At 47.7% G+C, this 26990-nt stretch overlaps 2 protein-coding genes and 1 pseudogene across 13 annotated transcripts in view, besides 3 other annotated features; 1 reads left to right on the top strand and 2 right to left on the bottom strand.

Annotated features, from left to right (window-relative positions):
• PKP2P1 (plakophilin 2 pseudogene 1) lies at positions 3244–7755 on the bottom strand (annotated as a pseudogene).
• Positions 13418–26990, bottom strand: part of TAPBPL (TAP binding protein like) — a 20358-nt gene continuing 6785 nt past the window's right edge. For 3 of the 8 annotated variants that reach the window (NR_147126.2, NR_147128.2, NR_147127.2), the window contains 4 exons: positions 26477–26779; positions 24486–24569; positions 24034–24265; positions 23108–23390 (listed from right to left, as the gene is read on the bottom strand). Coding sequence is in view for 2 of the 8 variants with exons in the window: in NM_001351355.2 (NP_001338284.1) it covers positions 23275–23390; positions 24486–24569; positions 26477–26779 (503 nt within the window). In the remaining 6 variants the exon portion in view is untranslated. Of the gene's footprint in view, positions 14959–18319; positions 18374–23107; positions 23391–24033; positions 24301–24485; positions 24570–26476; positions 26780–26990 lie in introns of those variants that run through there. The other 5 variants (NM_001351355.2, NM_018009.5, XR_001748777.3 and 2 more) reach the window with 4 other exon arrangements.
• Positions 14196–14455: a silencer, noted in NCBI's record as "silent region_4165". NCBI's record gives its function as "represses an Ori minimal core promoter by ATAC-STARR-seq in GM12878 lymphoblastoid cells {active_cell/tissue: GM12878}" and the evidence as "EXISTENCE:reporter gene assay evidence [ECO:0000049][PMID:35858748]".
• Positions 14666–14715: a silencer, noted in NCBI's record as "silent region_4164". NCBI's record gives its function as "represses an Ori minimal core promoter by ATAC-STARR-seq in GM12878 lymphoblastoid cells {active_cell/tissue: GM12878}" and the evidence as "EXISTENCE:reporter gene assay evidence [ECO:0000049][PMID:35858748]".
• VAMP1 (vesicle associated membrane protein 1) lies at positions 14747–23187 on the top strand. 5 transcript variants are annotated; one of them, NM_016830.4, is made up of 5 exons: positions 14747–14894; positions 19073–19199; positions 19424–19582; positions 20483–20534; positions 22582–23187. In NM_016830.4, coding segments are annotated over exons 1-5 (351 nt in total). In that variant the 5' UTR covers positions 14747–14892; the 3' UTR covers positions 22593–23187. The 5 variants fall into 5 exon arrangements, 4 of the variants coding, with proteins under 4 accessions (NP_058439.1, NP_001284367.1, NP_055046.1 ...); NM_001297438.2 differs by having other exon boundaries at positions 22455–23187; NM_014231.5 differs by having other exon boundaries at positions 20938–23187.
• Positions 15216–15265: a silencer, noted in NCBI's record as "silent region_4163". NCBI's record gives its function as "represses an Ori minimal core promoter by ATAC-STARR-seq in GM12878 lymphoblastoid cells {active_cell/tissue: GM12878}" and the evidence as "EXISTENCE:reporter gene assay evidence [ECO:0000049][PMID:35858748]".

The following is a 26990-nucleotide window of genomic DNA, read 5'->3' as shown; positions in this document are numbered from 1 at the left end:
AGCCTGGGCAATATGGCGAAACACTGGCTCTACAAAAAATACAAAATTAGTCTAGTGTGGTGGGATGCGCCTCTAGTCCCAGCTACTCGAGAGGCTGAAGTGTGGCTGGGCGCGGTGGCTCACACCTGTAATCCCAGCACTTTGGGAGGCCGAGGTGGGCAGATCATGAGGTCAGGAGTTTGAGACCAGCCTGGCCAACACGGTGAAACCTCGTCTCTACTAAAAATACAAAAAAATTAGCCAGGCGTGGTGGTGGGTGCCTGTAGTCCCAGCTACTTGGGAGGCTGAGGCAGGAGAATTGCTTGAACCAGGGAGGCGGAGGTTGCAGTGAGCCAAGATTGCACCACTGCACTCCAGCCTGGGCAACAGAGCCAGACTCTGTCTCAAAAAAAAAAAAAAGAGAAAGAAAAGAGAGAGGCTGAAGTGGGAGGATCACCTGAGACCAGGGAGGTTGAGGCTGTTGTGAGCTATGATTGCACCACAGCACTCAAGCTTGAGTGACAGAGTGAGACTCTGTGTAAAAAAAAAAACAAAAAAACAAAAAAACAAAAACCACCACACTGATAAATCATAATATTATTTCATATTATGATGATAAGTACCAGAAAAAAACAGCTAGGCCTAGCAAGGTGGCTCATGCCTATAATCCCAGCACTTTGGGAGGCTGAGAAGAGAGGATCACTTGAGCCCAGGAGTTTGAAATCAGCCTAGTCAGCACGACCCCCATCTCTACAAACAAACAAACAAATAAATAAAAATAGCTAAAAGAAGTGAAAGTCTCTGATTCTGGGAAGCTAGTCTAGAGGGTAGGCTGGGGTGAAGAAGAGGATTGCTGTTTTTGTCACATAACTTTCTCTTCATTTTGATTTGATTTAATACAAAGTAAAGGTAATTTAGAAACAAATCTTCAAGTTTCCCACTCCACTTTTAAAAATTAAGAAATGATAAACATGCCATACAATTCACTCATTTAGTATACAATCAAATGGTTTTTAGTATATTCATGAGGTCGTGCAACCATCACCACTACCTAATGTCAAAAAATTTAAAAAGTTATTTATTTTTAAATTTTTAAATAAAAATTACATATATTGATGGTATACATGATGTTTTAAAATATGTATACATTGTAGAATGACTAAAATAAACTAATTAAAGAATTCATTACCTCACATACTTTTCATTTTTTCTGATAGGAACACTTAAAATCTACTCAGCAATTTTCAAGTATACAATACATTGTTATTAGCTATAGTCACTGTGTTGTACAATAGACACTTGAACTTATTCCCAAGTCTAACCAAAACTTTGTATCCTTGGACCAATGTCTTTTTTTTTTTGAGACAGAGTCTCAATCTGTCACCCAGGCTGGAGTGCAGTGGTGCGATCTTAGCTCACTGCAACCTCTGCTTCCCGGGTTTAAGTGATTCTCCTGCCTCAGTCTCCTGAGCAGCTGGAACTACAGGCGTGTGCCACCACGCCTGGCTAATTTTTTGTATTTTTAGTAGAGACGGGCTTTCACCATGTTAGCCATGATGGTCTAGATCTCCTGACCTCGTGATCAGCCCGCCTCAGCCTCCTAAAGTGCTGGGATTATAGATGTGAGCCACCGTGCCCAGCCCAGGCCCTTTGACCAATATCTTACCAAACCTGCCCCCGCCCTCCACTTCCAGAACATTTTCCTTACCCCAAAAGAAACCCCTTACAAGTCATTCCCCCTTTTCAACCACTTATCCCATCCCCAGGTACTTTTTTTTTCTTCTTTGTTGAGATGAAATCTTGCTTTGTTGCCCACTGCAACTTCTACCCCCAAGGTTCAAGTGATTCTCCTGCCTCAGCCTCCTGAGTAACTGAGATTACAGGCACACACCACCATGTCCAGCTAATTTTTGTATTTTTAGTAGGGACAGGGTTTCGCCATGTTGACCAGGCTGGTCTTGAACTCCTGACCTCAAGTGATCTGACTGTCTTGGCCTCCCAAAGTGCTGGGATTACAGCCATGAGCCAATGTGTCCGGCCAATTAATCTATTTCCTTTCTCTTTCTTTTTTTTTTTTTTTTTTTTGAGACTGAGTCTCACTCCGTCGCCCAGCTAGAATGCAAAGGTGCAATCTTGGCTCACTGCAACTTCTGTCTCCTGGGTTCAAGCAATTCTCCTGCCTCCTGCCTCAGCCTCCCAAGTAGCTAGTATTACAGGCACGAGCCACCATGCCCAGTTAATTTTTGTATTTTTAGTAGAGACTGGGTTTTGCCATGTTGGCCAGGCTGGTCTCGAACTCCTGACCTCAAGTGATCCGCCCACCTCTGCCTCTCACAGTGTTGGGATTACAGGCTGCATCTCTGAATTTGTCTATTTGGACATTTCATATAGATGGAACAATATTCCAGTCTTTTGTGACTGGCTTCTTTCATTTAGCATAATGTTTTCAAGGTTTATCCATGTTGTTGCATATGTTAGTAGTACTTCAGTTTTGGGGTTTTTTTGCTTGTCTTAAGAAATGGGGTCTTTCTCTGTCACTCAGGCTGGAATGCAGTGGTACCATCACAGCTCACTGCAGCCTCAAATTCCTAGGCTCAAGCAATCCTGTCTCAGCCTCCCAAGTAGCTGGGACTATGAGTACAAACTACCATGCCCAGCTAATTTATTTTTTGTAGAAACAGGGTCTTGCTAGGTTTTCCAGTCTGTTCTCTAACTCCTAGGTTCAAATGATTCTCCTTGCCTCAGCTTCCTGAGTTGCTGAGATTACCGGTGTGAGCCACTGGGCCTGTCCTACGATGGCCTCTATCACTGCTGCAATTTAATTTAGTATGGAAATACTCAATGCTATTTAAAAAAAATAGATATGAGGAATGAAAGCGAAGAGATCAAACTGTGATTATTTACAGATAATTTGATTGTCATTGACTAAAACAGACAGGAATTTTTTTTTTTTTTAGACGGAGTCTCACTCTGTCCCCCAGGCTGGAGTGCAATGACATGATCTAGGCTCACTGCAACCTCCGCCTCCCGGGTTCAAGTGATTCCCCTGCCTCAGCCTCCCGAGTAGCTGGGACTACAGGTGCGTGCCACCACGCCCGATTAATTTTTTGTATTTTAGTAGAGACAGGGTTTCACCATGTTGGTCAGGCTGGTCTCCAACTCCTGACCTCGTGATCTGCCCACCTCGGACTTCCAAAGTGCTGGGATTACAAGCGTGAGCCACCGTGCCCAGTCCAGATAGGAATCTTTTTTTTTTTTGTCTCCTTTTGTATTTAATATTATTGAAGACTCTATTAATGTCTTAAAAAACACAAAAAGTTCTTGAACATACATTTATTATCTGGAGGAATGAATGCACTCCAAATGCTTATTATCAGAACTCTGGAAAAAGACATATAAATTCTCTCCAGTATTTTAAAAATTGGTATCTAAATTTCATTTTGAACTAGGTTAGTTACCTAAGCTATCTTCATTCAGCTTTTAAAACTGAAAAAAAATTTAAGTTTCAAATATAATAAAGACTTAAGTACATATTCAACATTTATTTTCTATTACACTTTTCTGGCCAAAAGGAGTTGAAGAGTTTTTTTCCTTATCTTACTTATGACAAACGTTGTCAGATTTAAAAAAAAAAAAACAAAATATAACAGAATAGTAGTTGTGAAGACTAACTCTATATGAATGGTTTTAATCATAATGCAGTTAAAATAACATTTAATATAGATTCATTTCACTGGATGATGTCACCTTTTAAAACACCAGTATTTCTCATATCATTTCTGTATGGTCTTGACACATTCTTATATCTTCTTCAACATGACTTCTTCACTTTTTTCTCTAGAGTTTTCTTGAATTAAAATAATGGCTTGAAGAAGATCATATGAGATTTAGTGGCCCTGTGATATTTCTTAAATGCTGGGCAAAGCTGGTTGATAATGTAACTCATTAAAATGAGCTGTATTTTCAGTGCCCCAGGCTGGCCGGGCAGTCTGATAGAAGGCCTTAGTTCCTCTTGCAGATAAAGACTAGAGTCCATTCTTCCACTAGTCCAGGGCAGTGGCCTAAAAAATACAGAAGGCCCGGTGCGGTGGCTCACACCTATAATCCCAGCACTTTGGGAGGCTGAGCCGGGCGGATCATGAGGTCAGGAGTTCAAGACCAGCCTGACCAACATGGTGAAACCCTGTCTCTACTAAAAATACAAAAAAATTAGCCAGGCGTGGTGGTGCACGCCTGTAATCCCAGCTACTCAGGAGGCTGAGGCAGGAGAATCACTTGAACCAGGGAGGCGGAGGTTGCAGTGAGCCAAGATTGCACCACTGCACTCCAGCCTGAGCTCCGTCTAAAAAAAAAAAAAAAAAAAAATGTCCAGGAAAGGCATTACACGGAATGCCATTGTTTAGAAGAGATTTGGATTTAATGGTGTTGTTATAGGTAAAGTATTTCCGGAGCAAAAATCTCATTCATTCAGTGTTTGGGGGAAGGTTAAACTTTATAATCACAGTTGCCTTTCTCTGGGGAAAAGATTTATTTTTATTTTTATTTATTTTACTTTAAGTTTTGGGAGAAAAAGGTTTCTTTAATTTGCTATGATCACTTCCTCTCAATTTCTTTTTCTTACAGTCATGCATACTCTGTAATCTAAATTTCTTAAGTTTATTTAAAAATCAGAGGAAAAAAACCTAAGGAGATAAAAACGAGCACAAAGTAAACAAAGAAACAAATAATTTTGCCATTATACTTTCTCCTGGATAACTGCAGATATTTCTTGTCATTTCCATTCTGTTTCAACACTACAGAACAATATACTCATGGCCCAATGGTGAAGCAATGTGCACATGAGTGACAAAACATGGGAACTAGAAAAGGAATATAAATGTAAATCAAGCTTTTAAAATCCCAGTAATGCAACAACTTCTTTCCTTATTTATTGGATCAAAGTCCATTCCACATGAATTCACATTTTGGTTCCAGGAGGCCATGCACCATAAGCCCTAATAACAAAGACCACTATTTGTAGAGCCTGTGACCAGTATCTACTGGTGGCAAGCTTGCAAAAGTCTTCTGGAAGACTCATAAGATTATGTTGTACTTGTTTTCTGGATTCGGGGGACCATGGAAATAGAAAATGATAGAAACGAGGCATGCTTTTGAGGTTTCTTGGGCTGGGTAGTAGAAAAATAGGTGTTTTCCTGTGGGATTTTTTTGCAGCTGAGAATACTTCGTCATTTTCCTCAGTCTTTAAGGGAGTGGTAGGCTTTGACAGTCCAGCTGTTGACAAAATCTGTCTTCTTAAACTGAGCCTTCTTGTAGGCATGATGGAGTTCCGTGTGTGCCTACAGAGAATACAGGAGGATGGAAGCAGCTTTACTTGCTTTGTTGGAGGCATAGGCATCGCCTGCACTGATGGTCATAATTTTCTGGATGCCCCCGGTATTCGGAAGGCGCTGTGCATTCTGGTAACTGTTTTGGATTACGTTGTTCAACATGTAACAGGCAGAGGCTGTAGTTTCAATGAGAAGGTCAGTACTCGGGACTGTATCAGGAATGATGGAGACCAAACTGGGGAGAGTTTCTTTGGCAATTTTATTCTGCAGAGAAAGATTCTGGGACAGATTCCTCAGCAGCAAGTTGGCTGTCTTTTTCACACTTGGGTCACTGACATGCACCATCTTTCGGGTGTGCTGCAGGCCATTTTCCTTCTGGACGACTGTCTGAGCCACTGATGTCGGCATTGGTCCACTTCCGGCTGTGAGGTTCTGGAGAGCGCCTAAGGAGGCTTCCTGTGTGTAGTTTGGGACACTCTTGGCGATCAAGGACAGATACATCCTTATCACAATGGAGTGTCACAGCCACTCCACGCCCTTGGGGTTGCTCTTTTCCTCTGGCATCGGCATGTCCTAGTATTGCTCTTTTAGTTTCCTGCTTCGACTGCCAAAACATCCAATACTTTTGTTGTTAGTCTGGACATTTGGGTTTTGAATATAGATATTCTGGGAATATTTCTCTGGGAGCTCTACCTCCAGCTGGTAGGAGAGGTTATGAAGAATGTGCACACAATTCTCCGTGGCCTTGTCATCTGGCTGGTAATCCGCAATGGTTCCTCTGACATAATGGACCAGTGAGTCAATGAGTCGGTCACATCTTCTCATTGCTTTTCTCCTATCAGGGCCAGCAGCACTCATGTTTCTTAGACATCCAGTGGGTTGTAGACTGTGTCAAAATCGAGCAAACCATTCGCTTTTGGGTAGTCTCCTTCAGGCCATCCAGAAAAGGAGATGATTATATTCTCGGTCAGCATAAGCAATGCTTCTGTTATCATGAGATTCTTGAGTTTGTCATTAGATGACAAATTCCACAGCAAACCTGTTAGTTGTTTTTTAGTCTCCAAGACTCTGGTTTGCTTCAGCACCTGGAGCAGCCGAGTTACCCCATTTAGTTCAGCCACCTCCAATTTGTTGTCATTGTCTTCAAATAGTAAGTTTCTCAAGGCCCCCCACACAGCTCGCTGAACATCTTCATTCTGAACTTTTAGGAGCTGCAGAAGCTTGGGGATGCCACAAAACTGGTTAACCCTCTTCCCAGCTTCAGATTTCTGGAAGCACTCGTGCTGTATGAAAGTGGCTGCGGCAGAAATCCTGGACGGCGGCATCTGGTCTGCATCGAGCATACTCCCTGCTCGCTCCAGAGTCATCTCCATGTCTGCATTCCCCAGCTGGGAGTCAGTGCTTCTCTGGGTGAGAAGATTCCCACTTCCCCCTGCCGCTGCCTGGCCGACGGTCAAGTGCGCTCTCCTCCCGCTGGAATCCACGGCAACACTGGGCCCAGCTTTCCTCGGTGTGCGGGTGCTGTGGAAGGAGCTCCGGTGCCAGGAGGACCTGGAAGCCCTGTTCTGAGTGAGGGGCCGCAGGGGCACCAGCGGCCTGACCTGGCCGACGGTGAGCCCTGCCCTCAGGTAGTTCTCTTTCTCCAAGAGGTTGCCCATGCTGCGGCTGGTCCCTGGCCTGGGGTACGTGAGCAGGGCCGGGTTGGCAGGGATGCTGTCAAAAACGGTGTCACTAACAGAGCCACGCTGGTACTGCCTGTGGTGTCAAAGTGGTGCTGCCTGCTTGTGGTGCCAGTACGGCGGACCCCCGCGATCTCAGAACGATCATATCTCGGTGGCACCAGGAAGGCGGCCCGCCTGCTTTCTTGGTGGTGCAGGGTGTGCCCAGCCTGGCTTCTCTGGCTGTACTGGTAATCGCTGTGCGTGTAGTGAGCCCTCTCCGGGCTGCTGTCAGGAGAAATCTCCAGTCTCCTCAGAGGATGCCTCAAATACCTTTCTTCCACGGACTTCTGGGAGCTGTACTGTGCTGTTCCTCTTCCCCAGCGACCTTCATAAGTGGCAGTTGTGCCAGCCTTTAGCATGTAATAGGTTTTAGGAACAGGGGAACGGCCTCCAACAAAATCATTTTCAACCAAGTGTAGGTTGTAGACATACTCAGGAACACTGCTGGTTCGGTGAAGATTTCCGTTGCCCACGGAGCTGCGGCCCTTCCGGGCGAGGATCTGCTGCACCTGCTCCTGGATCCGCAGGCTCTTGACTGGCTGCCGCGGCCGCTGCTCCCAGCCAGCTTCAGCTTGGCCTCAGAGGGCAGCGCCAGGCTGGAGCTGTCCAGTTGTCCCAGGATCTGCTGGCCCAAGATGGTCCGGATGTAGCCGTACTCAGCTGGGGCCCCGGGGGCTGCCATGGGGCCGGTGGGGGCGACCCAGCCGCTCGCTTGCCTTGGGACTCGCGGGTGAAGCCGCCGCAGAGCTGGGGGCTCTCCAGATAGGAATCTTAAAAAATACAGAAGGCCAGGCATGGTGGTTCACGCCTGTAATCCCAGCACTTTGGGAGGCCAAGGCAGTCGAATCACGAGGTCAAGAGATCCAGACTATCCTGGCCAACACGGTGAAACCCCGTCTCTACTAAAAATACAAAAAATTAGCTGGGCGTGGTGGCGCACGCCTGTAGTCCCAGCTACTTGGTCGGCTGAGGCAGGAGAATCGCTTGAACCTGGGAGGCAGAGGTTGCAGTGAGCCGAGATTGCATGACTGCACTCCAGCCTGGCGACAGAGCAAGACTCTGTCTCAAAAAAAAAAAAAAAAAAATCAGATGCGCATATTTGTAGGGGTCTATTTCTGCATTCTCTCATCGGTGCCATCGATCTATGTGTCTGTCCTCCCACCAATACCACACTGTCTTGATTACTGCAACTATATAGTAGTAAGCATGAGATAGTTATTCCTCCTATTTTATTCTTCTTTGTTCTTCTATAGATAAAATCTATTTATGAGTTGGCCTGAGAGTAAAGACTATTTAAACACGAAAAACTAAGTGAAAGCCAGTAACCAGGGAAGTTGCTGAGTCCCAAAGACTATTTTGCTCTGAGGGTATTTGCTATAAAGTTTAATATGAGCGTAGCAGCCTCACAGGCTACCACTGTGGCACAGGAAATAAAGCCCAGGGCTTACCCAAGGTTGGAAATCTAATAGAAAGTCCTTACCATAAAGTCAGAACCCCAAAGGACTATATCCTCATCTAAGAATGAATTACGAATATACTAGAACCCAAACTGCCCCAGAGCACTCCGTGGAATGTTGTTTGTCTGGAACCCAGGTGCCTGCTGGAGTTCTTTTATTTTTTTCTTTTAAGTATTTGCAGAGAATGTATAACCACAGGCTGTGGTGTTTCTGCCTGAACTCTTTGTTGATCCTAAAAAGAAAATGGCAAGAATTTAAAGTGGTTTTGGATTGACAGTACCACCAAGAACCCAGCAGAAGCAATGCAGATCCTTTCTGGATGAACTCATCTTTAATCTAGGCCTCGGGGAATTTCCACAGATACAGTTCCAAGAAAAATAAATTGTGGTCAAAAATTCCAAACAAATAAGGAACAAGGCACCAAGAACAAGAACCAGCAGAGATGGAGACAGGAAATAAGAAAGATAATTAGAAAATTAAGCCAAATAGTCCAATATCTAATTAATAGTCCGATGTCTAAAAAGAGAAAACAGGATATGTGAGGGAGAGGGAGAAAAAAGGGTGTGTGTGAGATTGATTTTAAAAGAAATACAAGACTCGCGCCTGTAATCCCGCACTTTGGGAGGCTGAGGCTGGCAGATCATCTGAGGTCAGGAGTTCGAGATCAGCCTGGCCAATATGGTGAAACCCCGTCTCTACTAAAAATACAAAAATTAGCCAGGCATGGTGGCAGGCGCCCGTAGTACCAGCTACTCAGAAGGCCTCGCGAGGTGCCGGGATTGCAGACCAAGTCTTGTTCACTCAGTGCTCAATGTTGCCCAGGCTGGAGTGCAGTGGCATGATCTCGGCTAGCTACAACCTCCACCTCCCAGCCGCCTGCCTTGGCCTCCCAAAGTGCCGAGATTGCAGCCTCTGCCCAGCCGCCACCCCGTCTGGGAAGTGAGGAGCGTCTCCGCCTGGCCGCCCATCGTCTGGGATGTGAGGAGCCCCTCTGCCCGGCTGCCCAGTCTGGGAAGTGAGGAGCACCTCTTCCCGGCCGCCATCCCGTCTAGGAAGTGAGGAGCGTCTCTGCCCGGCCGCCCATCGTCTGAGATTTGGGGAGCGCCTCTGCCTGGCCGTGACCCCGTCTAGGAGGTGAGGAGCGTCTCTGCCTGGCTGCCCCGTCTGAGAAGTGAGGAGCCCCTCCGCCCGGCAGCTGCCCCATCTGAGAAGTGAGGAGCCCCTCCGCCCGGCAGCCACCCTGTCTGAGAAGTGAGGAGCGTCTCCGCCTGGCCGCCCATCATCTGGGATGTGAGGAGCCCCTCTGCCCGGCTGCCCAGTCTGGGAAGTGAGGAGCACCTCTTCCCGGCCGCCATCCCGTCTAGGAAGTGAGGAGCGTCTCTGCCCGGCCGCCCATCGTCTGAGATGTGGGGAGCGCCTCTGCCCGCCCGTGACCCCGTCTAGGAGGTGAGGAGCGTCTCTGCCTGGCAGCCACCCCGTCCGGGAGGGAGGTGGGGGGTCAGCCCCCGCCCGGCCAGCCGCCCCGTCCGGGAGGGAGGTGGGGGTCGCCTCTGCCCGGCCACCCCTTCTGGGAAGTGAGGAGCCCCTCTACCCGGCCACCACCCCGTCTGGGAGGTGTACCCAACAACTCATTGAGAACGGGCCATTATGACGATGGCGGTTTTGTGGAATAGAAAAGGGGGAAAGGTGGGGAAAAGATAGAGAAATCAGATTGTTGCTGTGTCTGTGTAGAAAGAAGTAGACTTGGGAGACTTCATTTTGTTCTGTACTGGGAGGGGTTCTTCTGCCTTGGGATGCTGTTGAGCTGTGACCTTGCCCCCAGCCCTGTGCTCTCTGCGGCCTGTGCTGTGTCCACTCAGGGTTAAATGGATTAAGGGCGGTGCAAGATGTGCTTTGTTAAACAGATGCTTGAAGGCAGCATGCTCCTTAAGAGTCATCACCACTTCCTAATCTCAAGTACCCAGGGACACAAACACTGCGGAAGGCCGCAGGGTCCTCTGCCTAGGAAAACCAGAGACCTTTGTTCACTTGTTTATCTGCTGACCTTCCCTCCACTATTGTCCTATGACCCTGCCAAATTCCCCTCTGCGAGAAACACCCAAGAATGATCAATAAAAAAAAAAAGAAAATGGCCAAAAGACATGAACCAACATTTCATCAAATAGGATAATATATACAAGGCAAACACTTTAAAAGATATTTGATATCATTAGCCATCAGTGAAATAAGAATTAAAACCACAATGATAGCACTGAACACATATTAGAATGGTTAAAATAAGAAAAATACAGCTGGGCATGATGCCTATAGTCCTAGCTACTTGGGAAGCTGAAGTGGGAGAATTGCTTGAGCTCAGGAGTTTAAGACCAGCCTGGGCAACACAGGCAAAGGCAGTTTCTTATAAAACTAGAGATGCAATTACCTTACTGCCCAAGCATTGCACTCAGGCATTTATCCCAGAGAAATGAGAATTTATGTTCACACAAAACCTGTATGAAAGTTCACAGCAACTTTATTTGTAATAGCCCAGTGCTGAAATCACTCCAAATGTCCTTCAGCAGGTAAATGGTTAAATGTACCACGGAATATTAATCAGTGGTGAAAACTAATGATACACACAATAACTTGGATGGTTGAAAAAGTAATGATACACACAATAACTTGGATGAATGAAAAAAGCCAATCTTGAAAGGTTACGTGATATAGAAAAAAGCATGACTACATTTACATAAGGCTCTTGAAATAAAGTTACAGAGATGGAGAACAAATTAGTGTTGCTAAGGTTTAGGGATGGCGGTGGGTTGGAATATAAAGGGGTAGCACATGGGAGCCTTGCAGTAATGTGAAAATGCTGTATCCTAACTGTGGTTGTGGTTACACAAATCTACACATGATACAATTGCATAAAACCACTCAAACACACACGAACACAAAAAGAAGTGTTTGGTGGTACATGCCAGTTTGGAAAATCGGTGAAATTTGAATAAACTCTGGATTTTGCTAATGATAATTTCCTGGTTTTAATATTTTAATAATTTTAAACTGTATTTATACAAGATGTTACTGTTGGGGGAACTGGGTAAAGGGGTTTAGGGGAACCTCCCTGTATTGTATTTTTTTTTTTTGGCCACCTTATATGAATCTATAATTACTTTAAAATAAAAAGTTTAAGGCCGGGCGCGGTGGCTCACGCCTGTAATCCCAGCACTTTGGGAAGCCGAGGCGGGTGGATCATGAGGTCAGGAGATCGAGACCATCCTGGCTAACACTGTGAAACCCTGTCTCTACTAAAAATACAAAAAATTAGCCGGGCGTGGTGGCGGGTGCCTGTAGTCCCAGCTACTCAGGAGGCTGAGGCAGGAGAATGGCGTGAACCCAGGAGGTGGGGCTTGCAGTGAACCGAGATAGCGCCACTGCACTCCAGCGTGGGCGACAGAGGGAGACTCCGTCTCAAAAAAAAAAAAAAAAAGTTTAAAAAATGCCACCCCCTCAACCCCGTTTTTTTGAGACAGGGTCTCACTCTGTTGCCCAGGTTGGAGTGCAATGGTGTGATCATGGCTCACTGCTTTCTTGACCTCCTCAGGCTCAGGTAATCCTCCCACCTCAGCCTCCCAAGTAGTTGGAACTACAGGTGTGTGCCACAATACCCAGCTATATTTTTTTGTATCTATTTCTTGTAGAGACAGGATTTCACCATGTTGTCCAGGCTAGTCTTGAACTCCTGGGCTCAAGTGATCCTCCTGCTTTGGCCTCCCAAAATGCTGGGATTATAGGCGTGAGTCACCATTCAATGATTTTAAGTTTTTTTTCAGGGGAAAGTTGGTGGGAATAAATAGGCATTCATGCTGCCAGAAATATTTCCTCCCATTCTTTTTTCTTTTCTTTTTCTTTCTTTCTTTCTTTTTTTTTTTTTTTTTGAGACAGTCTCATTCTGTTGCCCAGGTTGGAGTGCAGTGGCAAGATCTCGGCTTACTGCAGCCTCCGCCTCCCGGGTTCAAGTGATCCTCCTGCCTCAGTCTCCCGAGTAGCTGGGACTACAGGCGTCCATGCCCAGCTAATTTTTGTATTTTTAGTAGAGACGGGATTTTGCTGCGTTAGCCAGGTTGGTCTTGAACTCCTGGCTTCAAGTGATCCGCCCTCCTTGGCCTCCCACATTGCTGGGATTACAGGTGTGAGTTACTGCGCCTGGCCCTTTTTCTTTTCTTTTGGAGATAGGGTCTCATTTTGTCACCCAGGTGGGAGTGCAGTGGCGTGATCTCGGCTCACTGCAACCGGAACATCTGGGCTCAAGCTGTCCTTCCGCCTCAGCCCCCCAAATAGCTGGGACTACGGGAGTGAGCCACCACGCCCGGCCCCATTCTTTTTGTCTTTGGGGGCTTATAATTTTTTGCAAATTTTCCCAAATTGTCATTTTTCCCCCTAACTTGCCATTTTGATGTGGTTTCAGGAGGAGAATGGGATAAACACATATGATGAATGCATTATGTTTCCAAGTGCAATTGTTTCCTTAAGAAGACTTGTGACATTTGGATAGATAACTTTGGTGGACTTTTTAGAGAATAGATGTAAAGGATGGCAAGACTGGAAGCAGAATGATGTATCATTGATCTTAGGAGGCACTTGGGTTTTTTGTGTGTGCTTGTTTGTTTGTTTTTTTGCATTTCAATATCTTCTAATTGGGATGTTTCACTTTAGCTATTAGTCAGACAGCAGTCAAACTATATTTGTCATACCTGCTCATGAGCATCAAAGCTTGCCAAATGGGTGTCTGAGGCTTGGAAGAAAACTCTAGAGCCTGGAGAGGAACACTCTTAGGAAATGCTGCATCACCAAAGCCCTTATGAAATGCACAGAGGACTACATTGCGTGGAAATTAGTGGACATCCAAGACTGAGTCAAAAAAGTGAATCATTAACAATCAGTCTCTGTGAAGTTTTAGGGATAGTTACCATGTTATTGTTTTCTATTTCCCTTTTTATGCATGCACAAGAGTGAAATATAGAAATCGGTATGTATATAAACCCATATTTTCAATACATGTAAAACAAAAATGCTAAGTGGTAAGGAAAGCATTTGTCACAGATAATTTGCAACCTTTTTTCTTTTTTTTTTTGAAACAGGGTCTTGCTCTGTTGCCCAGGCTGGAGTGCAGTGGCGTGATCTCGGCTCACTGCAACCGTCGGCTCCCGGCTTCAAGCGATTCTCTTATCTCAGCCTCACGAGTAGCTGGGATTACAGGCGCCCGCCACCATGCCTGGCTGTTTTGTATTTTTAGTAGAGACAGAGGTTTCGCCATGTTGGCCAGGCTGGTCTCGAACTCCTGATCTCAGGTAATCTGCCTGACTCGGCCTCCCAAAGTGCTGGGATTACAGGTGTGAGCCACTGCGCCCGGCCTTGTAACCTTTTTTCTTAGCGGGACATAAAATAATGGTGAATTTTCCAACTGATGGAGTCCAGGAAAGGGATAATAGTGAGCAGAGGGGAGATAATCACTGGAATGCCAAGAAGGAAAAATCAACTCGATTTGGCAGATTACTGGGGGAGAGGTAAAGGTGAAGGGGAGGAAATCTAGGATGGTTTCCACGTTTCTGGTCTGGGCAACTGAGTCGATGTGGTAACCTCGACTGGAGCAGGTTTGGGAGGGAGTTCAATTTAGGAAGGCTATGTTGAAAGAAACGAATGAACGAAAGCTTCGTGCTTGCTTTGGTGGGACGGAACCCCGCATCCGGTATCTGGCACCAGGAGCTTGTGGCTGTGTCTCGAGGCTCCTGCACCCTCTCAGAGCGTTAGTTAGAGGCGGGGCGGTGGTGCGGAGCGAGGGCCAGAGCAGGGCACCAGGGCTGGGCGCGCACCAGGAAGCCGCCGCCTCCAGCTGAATGCGCGAGTCCCGGCGCGGGGTGGGGCAGGGGCGGGCACGGTCTTCAGTAACTGCCTAGCGATTGGTTGGGAGGCACCACAAATGCCTAACAAACTGCTGAAGCGCCCTCCGAAGGGACAGACCTCATCTCCACCCCGCCCCGTCCCTCCGCCAGACTGGAGCGCAAACTATGGTCGCATTGATCACTGAAGGATCCTCACAGCAACCGCTCCTTTCCGGAGTCGGATGAGAGGAGAGTTGTGACTGGCAATTGGCAGGGGCGGGGCGGGCTAGGCCTGTAGCGCTGGGCGACCGTCCTGGGCATGGATTGGGCCGCGGGGTTGTCACCGTTATCCGGGAGGCGTGGTCAGCACTAATAAAGGCGGAGGCCGGCGCGGCAGCTGCAGTAAGTTCCAGCGCAGCTAGACCGCGGGGTAGTCGGCGCGAGGCGGAGCTTGGCAGTTCCGTCCACTTCAGCCGCAGCGTCCCTCACCGGGTGTCTCGCCGCAGCCTCCGGAGAGGAACAGACCCTCACTCTCTCTGTCAGAAAAATGTGAGTTGACTCTGGTGTGGGGGCTCGGCACCTCCTTGACAACTCTCGCCCCAAGCTCCCGATTCTGCGGGACGGAAAATGGCGCAATGCAGCAGCTGCAGCAACGCGGGGAACTACCACCGCGCGCCGCTTCCGGACCGGGCCACCCCCAGGGAGGGGGGCCAGCACCCCATTCTCGCACCAGCCACAGCTAGCACCCCACGGGCGGGGCAGGGGCGCAGGGGTCCCACAATCATTGCACCCTCTCCTCTCGTCTGAGTGGCGCCTCATTCTGGTTTTGGTATAGTGGAGACTCGGAGAGGGCGGGGGCTGGGGGTGGTGGATGGAGACAACTGGGCAGGGGACTCGAAAGGTATTTCTGTCATCTGGCTAAATCACTACTCAGCGCCTCAGGAAAGACAGTCATGGGTGCAACTGCCAGTTGGTAACTTATGTTGCCCTACAATCTCTGGATTTGTTTACCCCTCACCCAAAGTGTGATGTCTAGCCCCCCTCATGGCAGTGAGCAAAGCTGCAGAAACTTATCTGCCAGTTCTCTGGCACCAGGTGAGCAGCTCAGAAAGACTCAAGGGGTAGTGGGATAGTGGCCTGTCATCCCAAGCGGCTGTTCATACCAAGGCCATTCGTATAGGAGATGTTTTTCTATCACCGAGTCTTACCAAATAGTTGGAGGAGAAATAGGGAGAGCTGAGCTTTCCCCCTTTCCTCCAACACACACAGTTTAGTCTCCAGCAGTCTTCAACATCACCCCCTTCGCATGATCTTGAGGGAAAACTACGGCTAAACAAACGAAGTACTTCTCTGTCAAGACCTCAATATGTCTAATACAGATTTTTCTTTCTGATTACTACCCTGGCCTGGTCCTAGATGTATTTATGTTGCTTCTCTAAGTGACAAAAAAGGGAAAGATTTACTTGTGTTACATAAGGGTTGTAATTATCCCTAGATATTTTACTGTTGAGTGTTTCCAACTCCCAACAAGTAGTAAGTGAAATTGGCCTTGCAAATACTTCATAGCCATTTCACTTTTTCTTTTTGATTTCTATGGTTTTAACCAGATATGAGTGTTCTATGCATTTTGGGCAAGCCGTAGAATTCCAGTTGTTTTCATTTTGGGGAGGGGGCTTCCAGATAGTATCTACGTGGGATGAACAGAAGGCAACAGAAAAATCGTGGTGGCTAGCGGGGCATCACGAGGTCTCTGACCTTAATCTTGTCATTGGTGCTACCATCCTGGACTGCTTCCAACACTGGCTGCTACCTACTCATTGAATTTTCTGCCTTAAGTCGAGAGCTAGATTGCTTAGCTAGCTCAGTGGCAGGACAAGAGTCTTGTGGCTCCCATGACTTTGTGTCTATCTTTGCTTTACCTCCTTTGCACCTTAGAGGGAAATGGAAAAGTGATTCTTCAAATGGGGAATGAGTCAGGTGTAATCTGCTACCATAGCCTCTCTGAGGAGTTATTCTCTATCTTTTTAGACTAAAAGAAATTCACTTAATCAAGGAGAATGAGCTTCTGGGTATTAGTTCTATTGTAATTAGTCAAATAATTTCCTTTTAGGTGACTTTGTGGTTTCATTTTTGTTGCATTTACTCTTGGACTGCTCCTGTGAAGTATGTTTGGTGAGATTCTGCTTCTGTTTGAGGAGTTCTTACTGTAATTTCTATTCTCCATCAAATTTGAGAGATCTCCCCCCTGCCTGTGGGTGCTTCCTTGGCCGAGAACATCTCATGACTTAGGTTATACTTCTGGGAATTCTTTAGGAGGTGAGTTTAGCCTCCATGTTTTGGGACATGGAGAGGAGTTTGTCTTGAAGACCACACACTAACTTTGAGTGGTACAGAATGAGAGAACATTCTCTGTGTGTATAGTACAGTAAACCAAGATCTCTCTTTGGGATGTAAGTAACCAAGGGAGTCATCTGAGACTGTCAAATCCAGAAAAGGAAGGGACAGAATGTCTATAATGCATGCACATTGAGGACAATTTCTAGCATTTTTGCTTCCTGTCTATGCTCTTGGAACAGTTTCCATAACTAATGTAATTGCTTTGGGCCCCAGATTCTATCTAAGTGAAACCCCCATTTTCTCTGCCAAAAACAAAGCAAACAAACAGTCCTGACTCACTCCACCTACATAGACTTTGCCTTTGGTGATTTTCCAAGCTGCCCTTATGGCAGCCCTGATTTCCTCATCTTGTGTGAAGCATAACCAATAACTGGGCATATAAACCAATAACCATAACCAATAACTTGAATATAAAAAGGGGTGAGCTGACAGACATTACAGTGTACAGCCTCCCTCCTGGCTCCCTTCACGGACTGGCATTGAGTGTCTGTGGCTTTTCCAGGCGCACGGTGCAAGCTACCAGTGGATCTACCATTCTGGGGTCTGGAGAATGGTGACCTTTTTCTCATAGCTCCACTAGGCAGTGTTCCAGTGGGGACTCTGTGTGGGGGCTCCAACCCCACATGTCCCTTCTGTACTACACTAGCAGAGGTTCTCCATGAGGGCCCTGCCCTTGCAGCAAACTTTTGCCTGGACATCCAGGCGTTTCCATACATCTTCTGAAGTCTAGACGGAGGTTCCCGAACCTCAGTTCTTGCCTTCTGTGCATCTGCAGGCTCAACACCATGTGGAAGCTGCCAAGGCTTGGGGCTTCCACCCTCTGAAGCCACGGCCCGAGCCCTGCATTGGCCCCTCTCAGCCACAGTGGGAGCGGCTGGGACACAGGGCACTAAGTCCCTAGGCTGCACACAGCATGGGGACCCTGGGCCTGGCCCACAAAATAACTTTTTCCTCCTGGGCCTCCAGGCCTGTGATGGGAGGGGCTGCTATGAAGGCTTCTGACATGGCCTGGAGACATTTTCCCCATGGTCTTAGGGGCTAACACTAGGTTCCTTGCTACTTATGCAAATTTCTGCAGCTGCCTTGAATTTCTTCTCAAAAAAATGGTTTTTTTCTTTAGTACTGCGTCTTTTCTTCTGCCAGATACCCTAAATTATCTCTCTCAAGTTCAAAGTTCCACAAATTTCTAGGGCAGGGGCAAAATGCTGCCAGTCTTTTTGCCAAAACATAACAAGAGTCACCTTTGCTTCAGTTCCCAACAAGTTCCTCATCTCCATCTGAGACCACCTCAGCCTGGACCTTATTGTTCATATCACTAACAGCATTTTTGTCAAAGCCATTCAACAAGTCTCTAGGAGGTTCCAAACTTTCCCGCATTTTCCTGTCTTCTTCTGAGCCCTCCAAACTGTTCCATCCTCTCCCTGTTAACCCAGTTCCAAAGTCGCTTCCACATTTTTGGGTATCTTTTCAGCAACACCCCACTCTACTGGTACCAATTTACTGTATTAGTCTGTTTTCATGCTGCTGATAAAGACATACCCAAGACTGGGAAGAAAAAGAGGTTTAATTGGACTTACAGTTCCACATGGCTGGGAAGGCCTCAGAATCATGGCGGCAGGTGAAAGGCACTTCTTACATGGCAGCAGCAAGAGAAAATGTGGAAGAAGCAAAAGCAGAAACCACTGATAAACCCATCAGATCTCATGAGACTTCGTCACTATCACCAGAATAGCACCGGAAAGATGGGCCCCATGATTCAGTTACCTCCCCTGAGTCCCTCCCACAACATGTGGGAATTCTGGGTGATACAATTGAAGTTGAGATTTGGGTGGGGACACAGCCAAACCATATCAGCGGGGAAATGCCATTTAGGACAAGGCTAGGCCATATGTCCCTGTAGCCATCATGGCAGAGGACTTGTTTGAGTTGAGTCAAAGGATAGCCCCAGATGAGATGTCTTGATGCCATCCTGGATGTCCCTGAACCCCATCCAAATGTTGTTGCAGAGTCTTTCATCTTTTACTTCTTGCCTCTATGGTTTGTCTCCCTACTTCAGATTGCCAAGGAGCAAGAATCCATTCTAGTTTTGTATAGCCTAATCATAATTGTTTAAGTGGTTTGGGGTGAGGATGCATGTGAGTCCTTTCTTTTTGTCTGTTTTTTTAGAGATGGGGTCTCGCTATGATGCCCAGGCTGGCCTCGAACTCCTGGGCTCAAGCGCTCCTCCCACTTCAGCCTCTTGAGTAGCTGGGACTACAGGTGTGTGCTACCACGCCCAGCTCCTTTCTTGTCTTGGTCACTTTGTGTACTCTGCACATGTCTTTCCACAGGTCTGCTCCAGCTCAGCCACCTGCTGAAGGGACAGAAGGGACTGCCCCAGGTGGGGGTCCCCCTGGCCCTCCTCCTAACATGACCAGTAACAGACGACTACAGCAAACCCAGGCACAAGTGGAGGAGGTAGGTAGATAGCTGTTTCTCTGAAAGTTTCCAAATCTAGGAGTTTGGAAACAAAAGGGAACTTCTTATCTTTTCTCCTTTTTTCGTAGGAGAATAGTCAAAGGCCCTGAGAGGCAAAGCACCCTTTAGAGTTGCACAGGGCCAGACTTGTGATTCTCTGGTTGTTGTCCTTTCCTCTGTCTCTGGCAGGAAGCTTAGCTGCTTTGTTTCTGTGCCCTCCTCAGGTGGTGGACATCATACGTGTGAACGTGGACAAGGTCCTGGAGAGGGACCAGAAGCTGTCAGAGCTGGATGACCGAGCTGATGCCTTGCAGGCAGGAGCATCACAATTTGAGAGCAGTGCTGCCAAGCTAAAGAGGAAGTATTGGTGGAAAAACTGCAAGGTGAATTTTCTTGTCCCCTCCTCCATCTTTTCCTGGGCTTCCACTGGTAGAAGGCAAGAAAACCCTCAGCTTCTACATTTCTTCCCTCTAATGGTGCAGGATCTCTCTGACCAGCATAACGCTTGGGAGGAAATCTGGAAAGCCTCCTCTTGAGATTGCATTACCCAGAATTGGCCACCAGGGTAGGCTAGAGTATTTAGAACCGCTATCAGGGAAAAAGTGATACCCTGAGGAGTTTGGAATGGTTAGTTAAGGAGCTTTACCCCAAAGGAGTTGCCTGCAAAAAATTTCACCTGTCTCATCCTCAGACACACCCAACATCAGCACAATGGCTCAGGCATATATACATACACACACACACACACACACACACACTATATATACACATATGTATATATACATATATATACATTTATATATATATATACATATATATACATTTATATATATATATACATATATATACATTTATATATATATATACTTTTTTCTTTTTCTTTTAAATCAGCTTTCTCAGATTGAAATATATATTTTTAAATAACTGCAACTTTTGAGAATGAGCTGAACACTTCACAGTGAAAATTGAACTAATTGGTTAAATATCCAGAGTCTGTATCTCTATTGGAATGCCTTCTAAAGCCCCAAGACACCAGGAACTAAGCAAAAAGGAGCTCAATGCAGGTCCTGTGATGAATCTGAAAAGCTACAGACATACTGTGGTTATGATCCCCTGGGAAGCAGAAGGGTAGGGCCTCTCTAAGAGGCCTGCAGGTCTCCTGGGTGATGGGTGGTTTTTTCCATTGTCCCAAGGATGGAAGGAATTCTGTTTCCCACTAGAGATGTGGCTCTTTTCCTCATTCCTGAAATCCAAGGGCTCATTTTTTGTCCATGTTTCCTCAGATGATGATCATGCTGGGAGCCATCTGTGCCATCATCGTGGTAGTTATTGTAAGTAAGTATCGCTGAAGTTGCTGGTGGGGTGAAGAGGTGGGAAGGTCCTGGAGTCTTCTCCCTGCCTGCCTGCCTGCCTGGGGAGTGGGGCTGCTCTGACTGAGGTATGGAGACCGCTGCTATGGGATCGTCACCTGGTTCGGGACGGGGGAAGGGCAGAGACAAGGGATTTCTTTGATGGACAAGCCTTCCCCCTGCAACGCATTGCAGGGAGATGGCGCCTCCTGTTCTGAGGAAGTGGGGCTATGCTGTGTGTCACTGGCTTGGGTTGGAGGGAGACCATGGGGATGGGGCACTTAACAATGGAGAGACCTGAATGTCTGGTAACTTGGTGTAATTCACCCTCTTGTTTTCTCCTGTCTCTTTCTCTTTTCCGTCTGGGACTTCCTGATTCCTGTGTCCAGTCTACTTTTTTACTTGAGAATGTACCACCCCTTCCCTGTTGTCCATTGCCATCCACATTCATGTCCTCTGCCCTCTGTTTGCTCTCTCAACACACTTCCCCACCCACCGTCCTCCATTCCAGCCCAGGCTTCTCCATCACCCATTCCTCCTTTTTCGTTGCGTTCATTTGCACTCTGTCCCTCAACACTAGAAATGCTGCTCGTGGCACAATCTAAGTCATTACCCGAAGAGCAACAGCTGGCGCCTCCTCCCTGCCTGCTTTTTCTGTACTCTCAAGTTCCCCCAAAGCCCCAAAGAGTTGGAGGCCAAGGGAAGGGGCAGGGAGGGGAGTGGCTGAGGCGAAGTACCCATGAAGCTGCCCAGACTTGGGAGGAGAAGAGTATCGGTGCCCATGGTGACTTCTAGAAAACCTGGCCACTGGTAGGAGCTAGGGAGGGGCTGGGAAGATGGCAGCTCACTCAGTACTGCCTGGTCATGTGGAGCTTTCCTTCCTGGACCAGGCCTGAAGAGGGTCCTGGGGGTGGACCAAAGTCCAACTTGGTTTCAGTGCAGTACCCTTTTCGAAAGTAAAAACTTGTTTTTTGTAGTTATTTCTAATCTGTTCGTCCAGGATTTTCCGTGTCTTTGGGGATCTTACAACTTTACTTTGTTCTCCAGAGGCCTGGAGAACACTTAGGGATTGTGAAAATAGCAGGACTTGTTTCCATCCTAGAAGCAGTCCCATGTGCTTCTAGCTGGAAGGAGCTTTCTCTTCTTTACATTTTCTACAGCATTCTGTATGAGGGCACCAAATAAATCCATCTAGCTGGTAGTTTTATCTAGCCAAATAATTTAACCTAGCTCCCAGTTAATTGTTGGCATAAAGAGAGAGATTGCCTGTTAGTTATAGAGAAACAGTGAGTCAAGTGCTTAATTTGAAAGTAACAAGCTCAGAGGAAGCCACTCCTTGCCCTCGTTAAAGAGGGTCCTGTTCCTCTCTTCCTGTTGATGAAGGAGCGTGAGGGTGTTAGCAGTGTGAGATCTTTGGACACCCATGGAATCCTTTCCTCCACACCACCCGTGCACTTGCCAAAGACAGGGATGAGGCAAGTGGTTCTTCCTGGGGCCCGGCCGATCCTCAGGATGCAGAGAAGTCATGTAGACCCACCAGCCCCACCTTGGGGGGAGGCGTGCCAGCCTGTGTCAGGTGTGCTTGTGTATTGCTGTGCTGTCATGGGGCCCTCTCCTTGAGAGCCGCCTCTCTGTTCTTCCTGTAGTATATTCCCCTTTGAACCACCCTTTCCTGTCTGAATTCTACTTTGCCTCCTTTCTCTTCCTCCTCTTTGCATGGTTTGTGTGTATAGACAGTGGAACCTGAGGATGGGATCTGCTCAGCCTATCTTCGGGGCAATTGCTGAGCTTCAGGATGGGCTATTAATGTGGGATAAGCCCAGGTGCAAGGGGAGGAGGGCAGGCTGGGAACAGAGCGGAGAATGCCCATGGCCCTTTATTCCTTCTTCCCTCGGTCCACGAACAGGAAGAGGCTGAGGCCATGCTGGGCAGGGTCTGGATGCCCACTTTCCATGCAGCAGCATTTCATTGCTCAAAACCATCCTTCCTTTCCTTTCGCCCTTGTTTCCCACATTCCCTTCGTCCTGCCCAAGGGCGGGACTGAAGAGCTGGAAGAAAGCAGTCAGTACCCTCCCAACGGCCCCCCTCGAAGGTCTCCACTCTCCTCTGGGCTCCTCCTTGCCTAATGCAGGGGGTCACCGCTGGAGAAGAACCACCACTGTCCTCGATGTGTCCCAAGCCTGGAGCGAATCCGTCCTCTTGGCTCTCCCAGCCCTATCACAGGAATCATTCCTGGGTTTCTGTCCCTCTGAGGCTCACCAGGTGTAGTTGGCCTTGTTCTTTGGGGGTATTAGCCCTTCTACTTTCTTTCTCACCCACCCTGTACCCTCTTCTGTGTGTCTCTGCTATCCCCCTTTCCTCCCACCACCCATGTGCATGAGCAAATGTGCAACAAAACCCTGGGACTTTGCAGTCAAATGAAGCTGAGCTTCCCACATCCCGTTCTTCGGTTTGCCATGAGACGATGTGGGGTTTCCACTGTGTGTCTGTCATCACCTCTTTGTCTTTTTTTCCTAACCCTGATCTCATACTTGTATAGAGTAATAACAACAGTTGTACTTCCACCAAAGGCATGTGGCATATTTACCAATGTCATGTATTCTGAACAAAGGCAAAAAATACAAATTCCTACCATTAAACTGGCTTGGTTGTTGTTTGGGTTGGAGTAGCTGTGGGGGCTTGGGGAAGGGTGTCGTTTCTTTCTAGTAGTCTCATGTCGCTTTAGGTCAGCTGGGCTGGCTTACACGCGCTGTGCGGTCTTCATGGAGATGGGAGCTCTGTGTGTCAGCACAGGAAGTGGTCTCCCAGCGTTCAGCCTGAAGCAGCCCAAGTCCTGTAGGTGCTGGTAAGAGGAAGTGAAGACAGGAAGTTGCGTGGGCATCTCACACTGGCAAACAAGCACAGGTTCCCTCAGGCCTCTTCCATCTGCCTCCTGTGCTCCTTCCTAGGTCCTTGGCCTGCTTGTCCTGTCCCAGGGGATGTGCCCAGATAAGGCTGTCAGTGAACACCCCCTTACCCCCTTTTCCCCATCATCCTCACGTACAGTTTTGGTATGCTGAGTTCCACCGTATTGATTAGGCACATTTTAGAAACGAATAAAAAGGAGAAGTCTCTCCTTGCAGCTGAGGGAGTGAGGCATTTGCAGGTATCCTGAACCTCCCAGCAGTCACCCGAGGGAGCAGAACCCTAATTGCAGCTGAGGTGCAACTGAGATGGAGCCACGGGGGTGCCTCTGAGGGCCTTTGTTTCATACTTAAACACTTTGCAAGTTGGAGCCGCTAGGCTTGGTGACAGGGCTCAGTTGGGACCAGTGTGGAGAAAGACAGGAAAGTGGAAAAGCTTGGTCGCAGCAGACACAAGGGCCTTTTATTTTGACAGAGCTGAGTTTGGGAGGGGTAGCCCAGCCCCAACCCATGCCTCATTGTCCCTCACTTGTTCCTTCTCCATTTCCTCCAGCTTTGTTTTCCTACCGTCACACCACCAACCTGGCTCTTTGGTCTTATCCTCCATCTGGACATTCTGCCTTCTTCTTGTCCCCTCACTTCTTCCTGTTCTCTGCCTTGGTGCATGAGCCCAGGGTGCACAGTGAAGGAAGGCAGAGGCCTCTGCAGAGCCAGGCCCAGTGCCCCATGAGCTGGTGCCACCTTCATGTATTTTTAGCTCTGTGACTTGACTTAGAGTCCTTCTGGGAGCACGTGACTACTCTTTCTTTCTACTCTGAGGCAGGAGAGTGACAGACTTTAGTGAGGTAGCTAGGAGAAAACGAGGGAACACGACTGGTTTCATTTTCATTTAGGGCAAACTCAAAAGCAGGAGGCTGTGATGGGTGGGTGGCTGGAGCTTGGGGCATCTGGGCTTCCACCCTGGTCTGGGCGGGGGGGTGGTTAGAGTGGGTGAGGTGGGCCAGGGCCAGAGCCAAGGGCACCCAGGCTCTTACCTTGCCGTCTCTGAAGCCCCAGGAACATCAGTGCAAGAAGGAAGAGACTGCTGGCAAAGATGACTCCCAAGGCTGTTCTCCGCTCTGTAGGTGAGAGCAACGTGGGCGGGGATCATCGTGCGCAGGAATCATGAGCTGAGCCCTCACCTGCAGTGTCCACCCCAGGGAGGAGGAGCTAAGGATTGTGTGTGTGAGTCCCTGGTTGAGGAGCCTGGAACAAGGCACTCAGCAGCATTTGTTCTTATTCAAGGTTGCTGGATACTTGTGAGTTACTCCACACAGAATTCTCTACCTCTTCCCACCTAAGGACAAGGTTTTAAAAATTGCTTTGCAAGTGAGATTTAGGTGGGTTTATTTGTTAGCACTTAACTTGCCTGGACACAGTGGCTCATGCCTGTAATCCCAGAACTTTGGGAGGCTGAGGTAGGTGGATCACCTGAGGTCAGGAGTTCGAGACCAGCCTGGGCAACATGGTGAAACCCTGTCTGTACAAAAAATACAAAAAATTAACTGGGCATGTTGGTGTGCGCCTGTGGTCCCAGGTACTTGGGAGGCTGAGGTGGGAGAATCACTTGAGCCTGGGAGGCAGAGTTTGCAGTGAGCTGAGATCGTGCCACTGCACTCCAGCCTGGGCGACAGAGTGAGACCCTATCTCAAAACAAAACAAAATAAAACAAAGCAAAACAAAAAACCACCAGTTAACTGGGATTTTGTAAATAGTTGGGGAATGATGTGAGCTGAAGTGAAACCTCAGTTTTGGGGAAGTTCACAGTCTAATGAGCAACCAAATAATGCCCAGTGCTCCTGGATGTTTCCACTTCAAGTTGCGGGTTCTTTCCTGTCCCTTTCCTGCTTAAAACCTCTCGACAGGCAGGGTGCGGTGGCTCATATCTGTAATCCCAGCACTTTGGGAAGCCGAGGCGGACAGATCACCTGAGGTCAGGAGTTTGAGACCAGCCTGGCCATCATGGCGAAACCCCATCTCTACTAAAAACGCAAAATTAGCCAGGCGTGGTGGTGCGCGCCTGTAATCCCAGCTACTTGGGAGGCTGAGGCAAGAGGATGGCTTGAACCCAGGATATGGAGGTTGCAGTGAGCTGAGATCATACCACTGCACTCCAGCCTGGGGAACAGAGCAAGATTCTGTATCGAAAAAAAGTAAAATAAAATAAAATAAATAAATAAATAAATAAATAAATAAATAAATAAATAAAACCTTTCAACAGCATGCTATGGCTCTCAGGAAGTTCCAGCTTGAAGGCCCAGTGAGATCTACAGGGTTTAATTAAGCCCGTAAGGGGAATCCGGTTGCCTGTTTTTCACATTCTCTCTTTACCATTGATTGATAGGTGACCTTGGGCAAATTCATTGACATCTGCAAGTGCCAGTTTACTCACCTGTAAAATGGGAGTCATGATCCATGAAATCATACATTTAAGTGCTTTCTACACTGCTTGATTCATGTAAATGCTCAATAAATAGAATTACCTCCGAAGCTTCAGAGCCACTTTCCCTTTTTCCCATATACCCTAAGCTCTAGCTGTGCTGAATTACTTGCAATTCTCCAAATTCTCTTTAGGCTGTTTTATGATTTGGCTTTCATATATGCTATTGTTTCTATCTTGAGTGTTCCCTTCCCTCTAAGCTAGTTAACTTGGCTCAAATGCCATCTTCTCTGTCTACTTAGTCTTGTCTCTATTACTGGACTAAGCTCCTGGAGGGCATGATCAGGAATTATTCATCTGTGATCTCCAGCCTTAAGCACATTGCCTGACACCCTGGAGGCTGGAGTATAATGAAGTCTCAGGGGATGTGTGGTAGAAGCTGTGGCAGCTGCCGCCTTGGGAAAATAGTCAGGAGCAGAGGCAGGAGCATGAAGCCAGGGCTGCGAACAAAGTGGATGGGCAGCAGAACAAGGCCATAGATGAGCTGGGGCAGGAGAGCCATGAGCCCTAGTGTGGAGGTGGGGAAAAGGAGGACACTCCCAGTACCTGGTGGGACAACCTGGGTGCTGGCCCCAAGGGGCTCCTCCAGAGAGATGTGTGTGACCTGGCAGGTGTAAGTGGCACCTGCAGAGCCAGGTTCTGCGGTGAGAGAGGAGGAGATGCTGTAGGTGCCTGCCACGCTTTGCCTGAGGCTGGAGAAGGAGGCACCAGAGACTTGGGCTGGGGATCCACCCAGCTCCTCTCGGGTCCACGTCACCACCACATCCAGAGGGTAATAGCCAGCAATGTCGCAGATGAGGGTGGGCAGCAGAGCTTCGTTTGCCAAGCTCAGTCGTACTTTAGGGGAAGCTGGAGAAAGAATGAGGAATAAGATTACACATGGATCTAACTGGGGACAGCGGAGGAGCCTGAAGCCTTTTCTTCCTGCCAAGATGAGAGTAGATTGTGGAGGCTACAGTGTCCCTTGGTGGTGTACCAAGGCGGGGGTGTGTGAGGGGCCCACCTGGATGCAGGCCGTAAGGGGGCAGGGTTACATTTTCCAGAAAACAGATAGTAAAGC

Source organism: Homo sapiens, chromosome 12 (assembly GCF_000001405.40).
Source record: "Homo sapiens chromosome 12, GRCh38.p14 Primary Assembly".
Lineage (NCBI taxonomy): Eukaryota > Metazoa > Chordata > Mammalia > Primates > Hominidae > Homo > Homo sapiens.
Note: the sequence above shows the minus strand (reverse complement) of the source record. Positions and strands in the feature narration are given on the sequence as shown.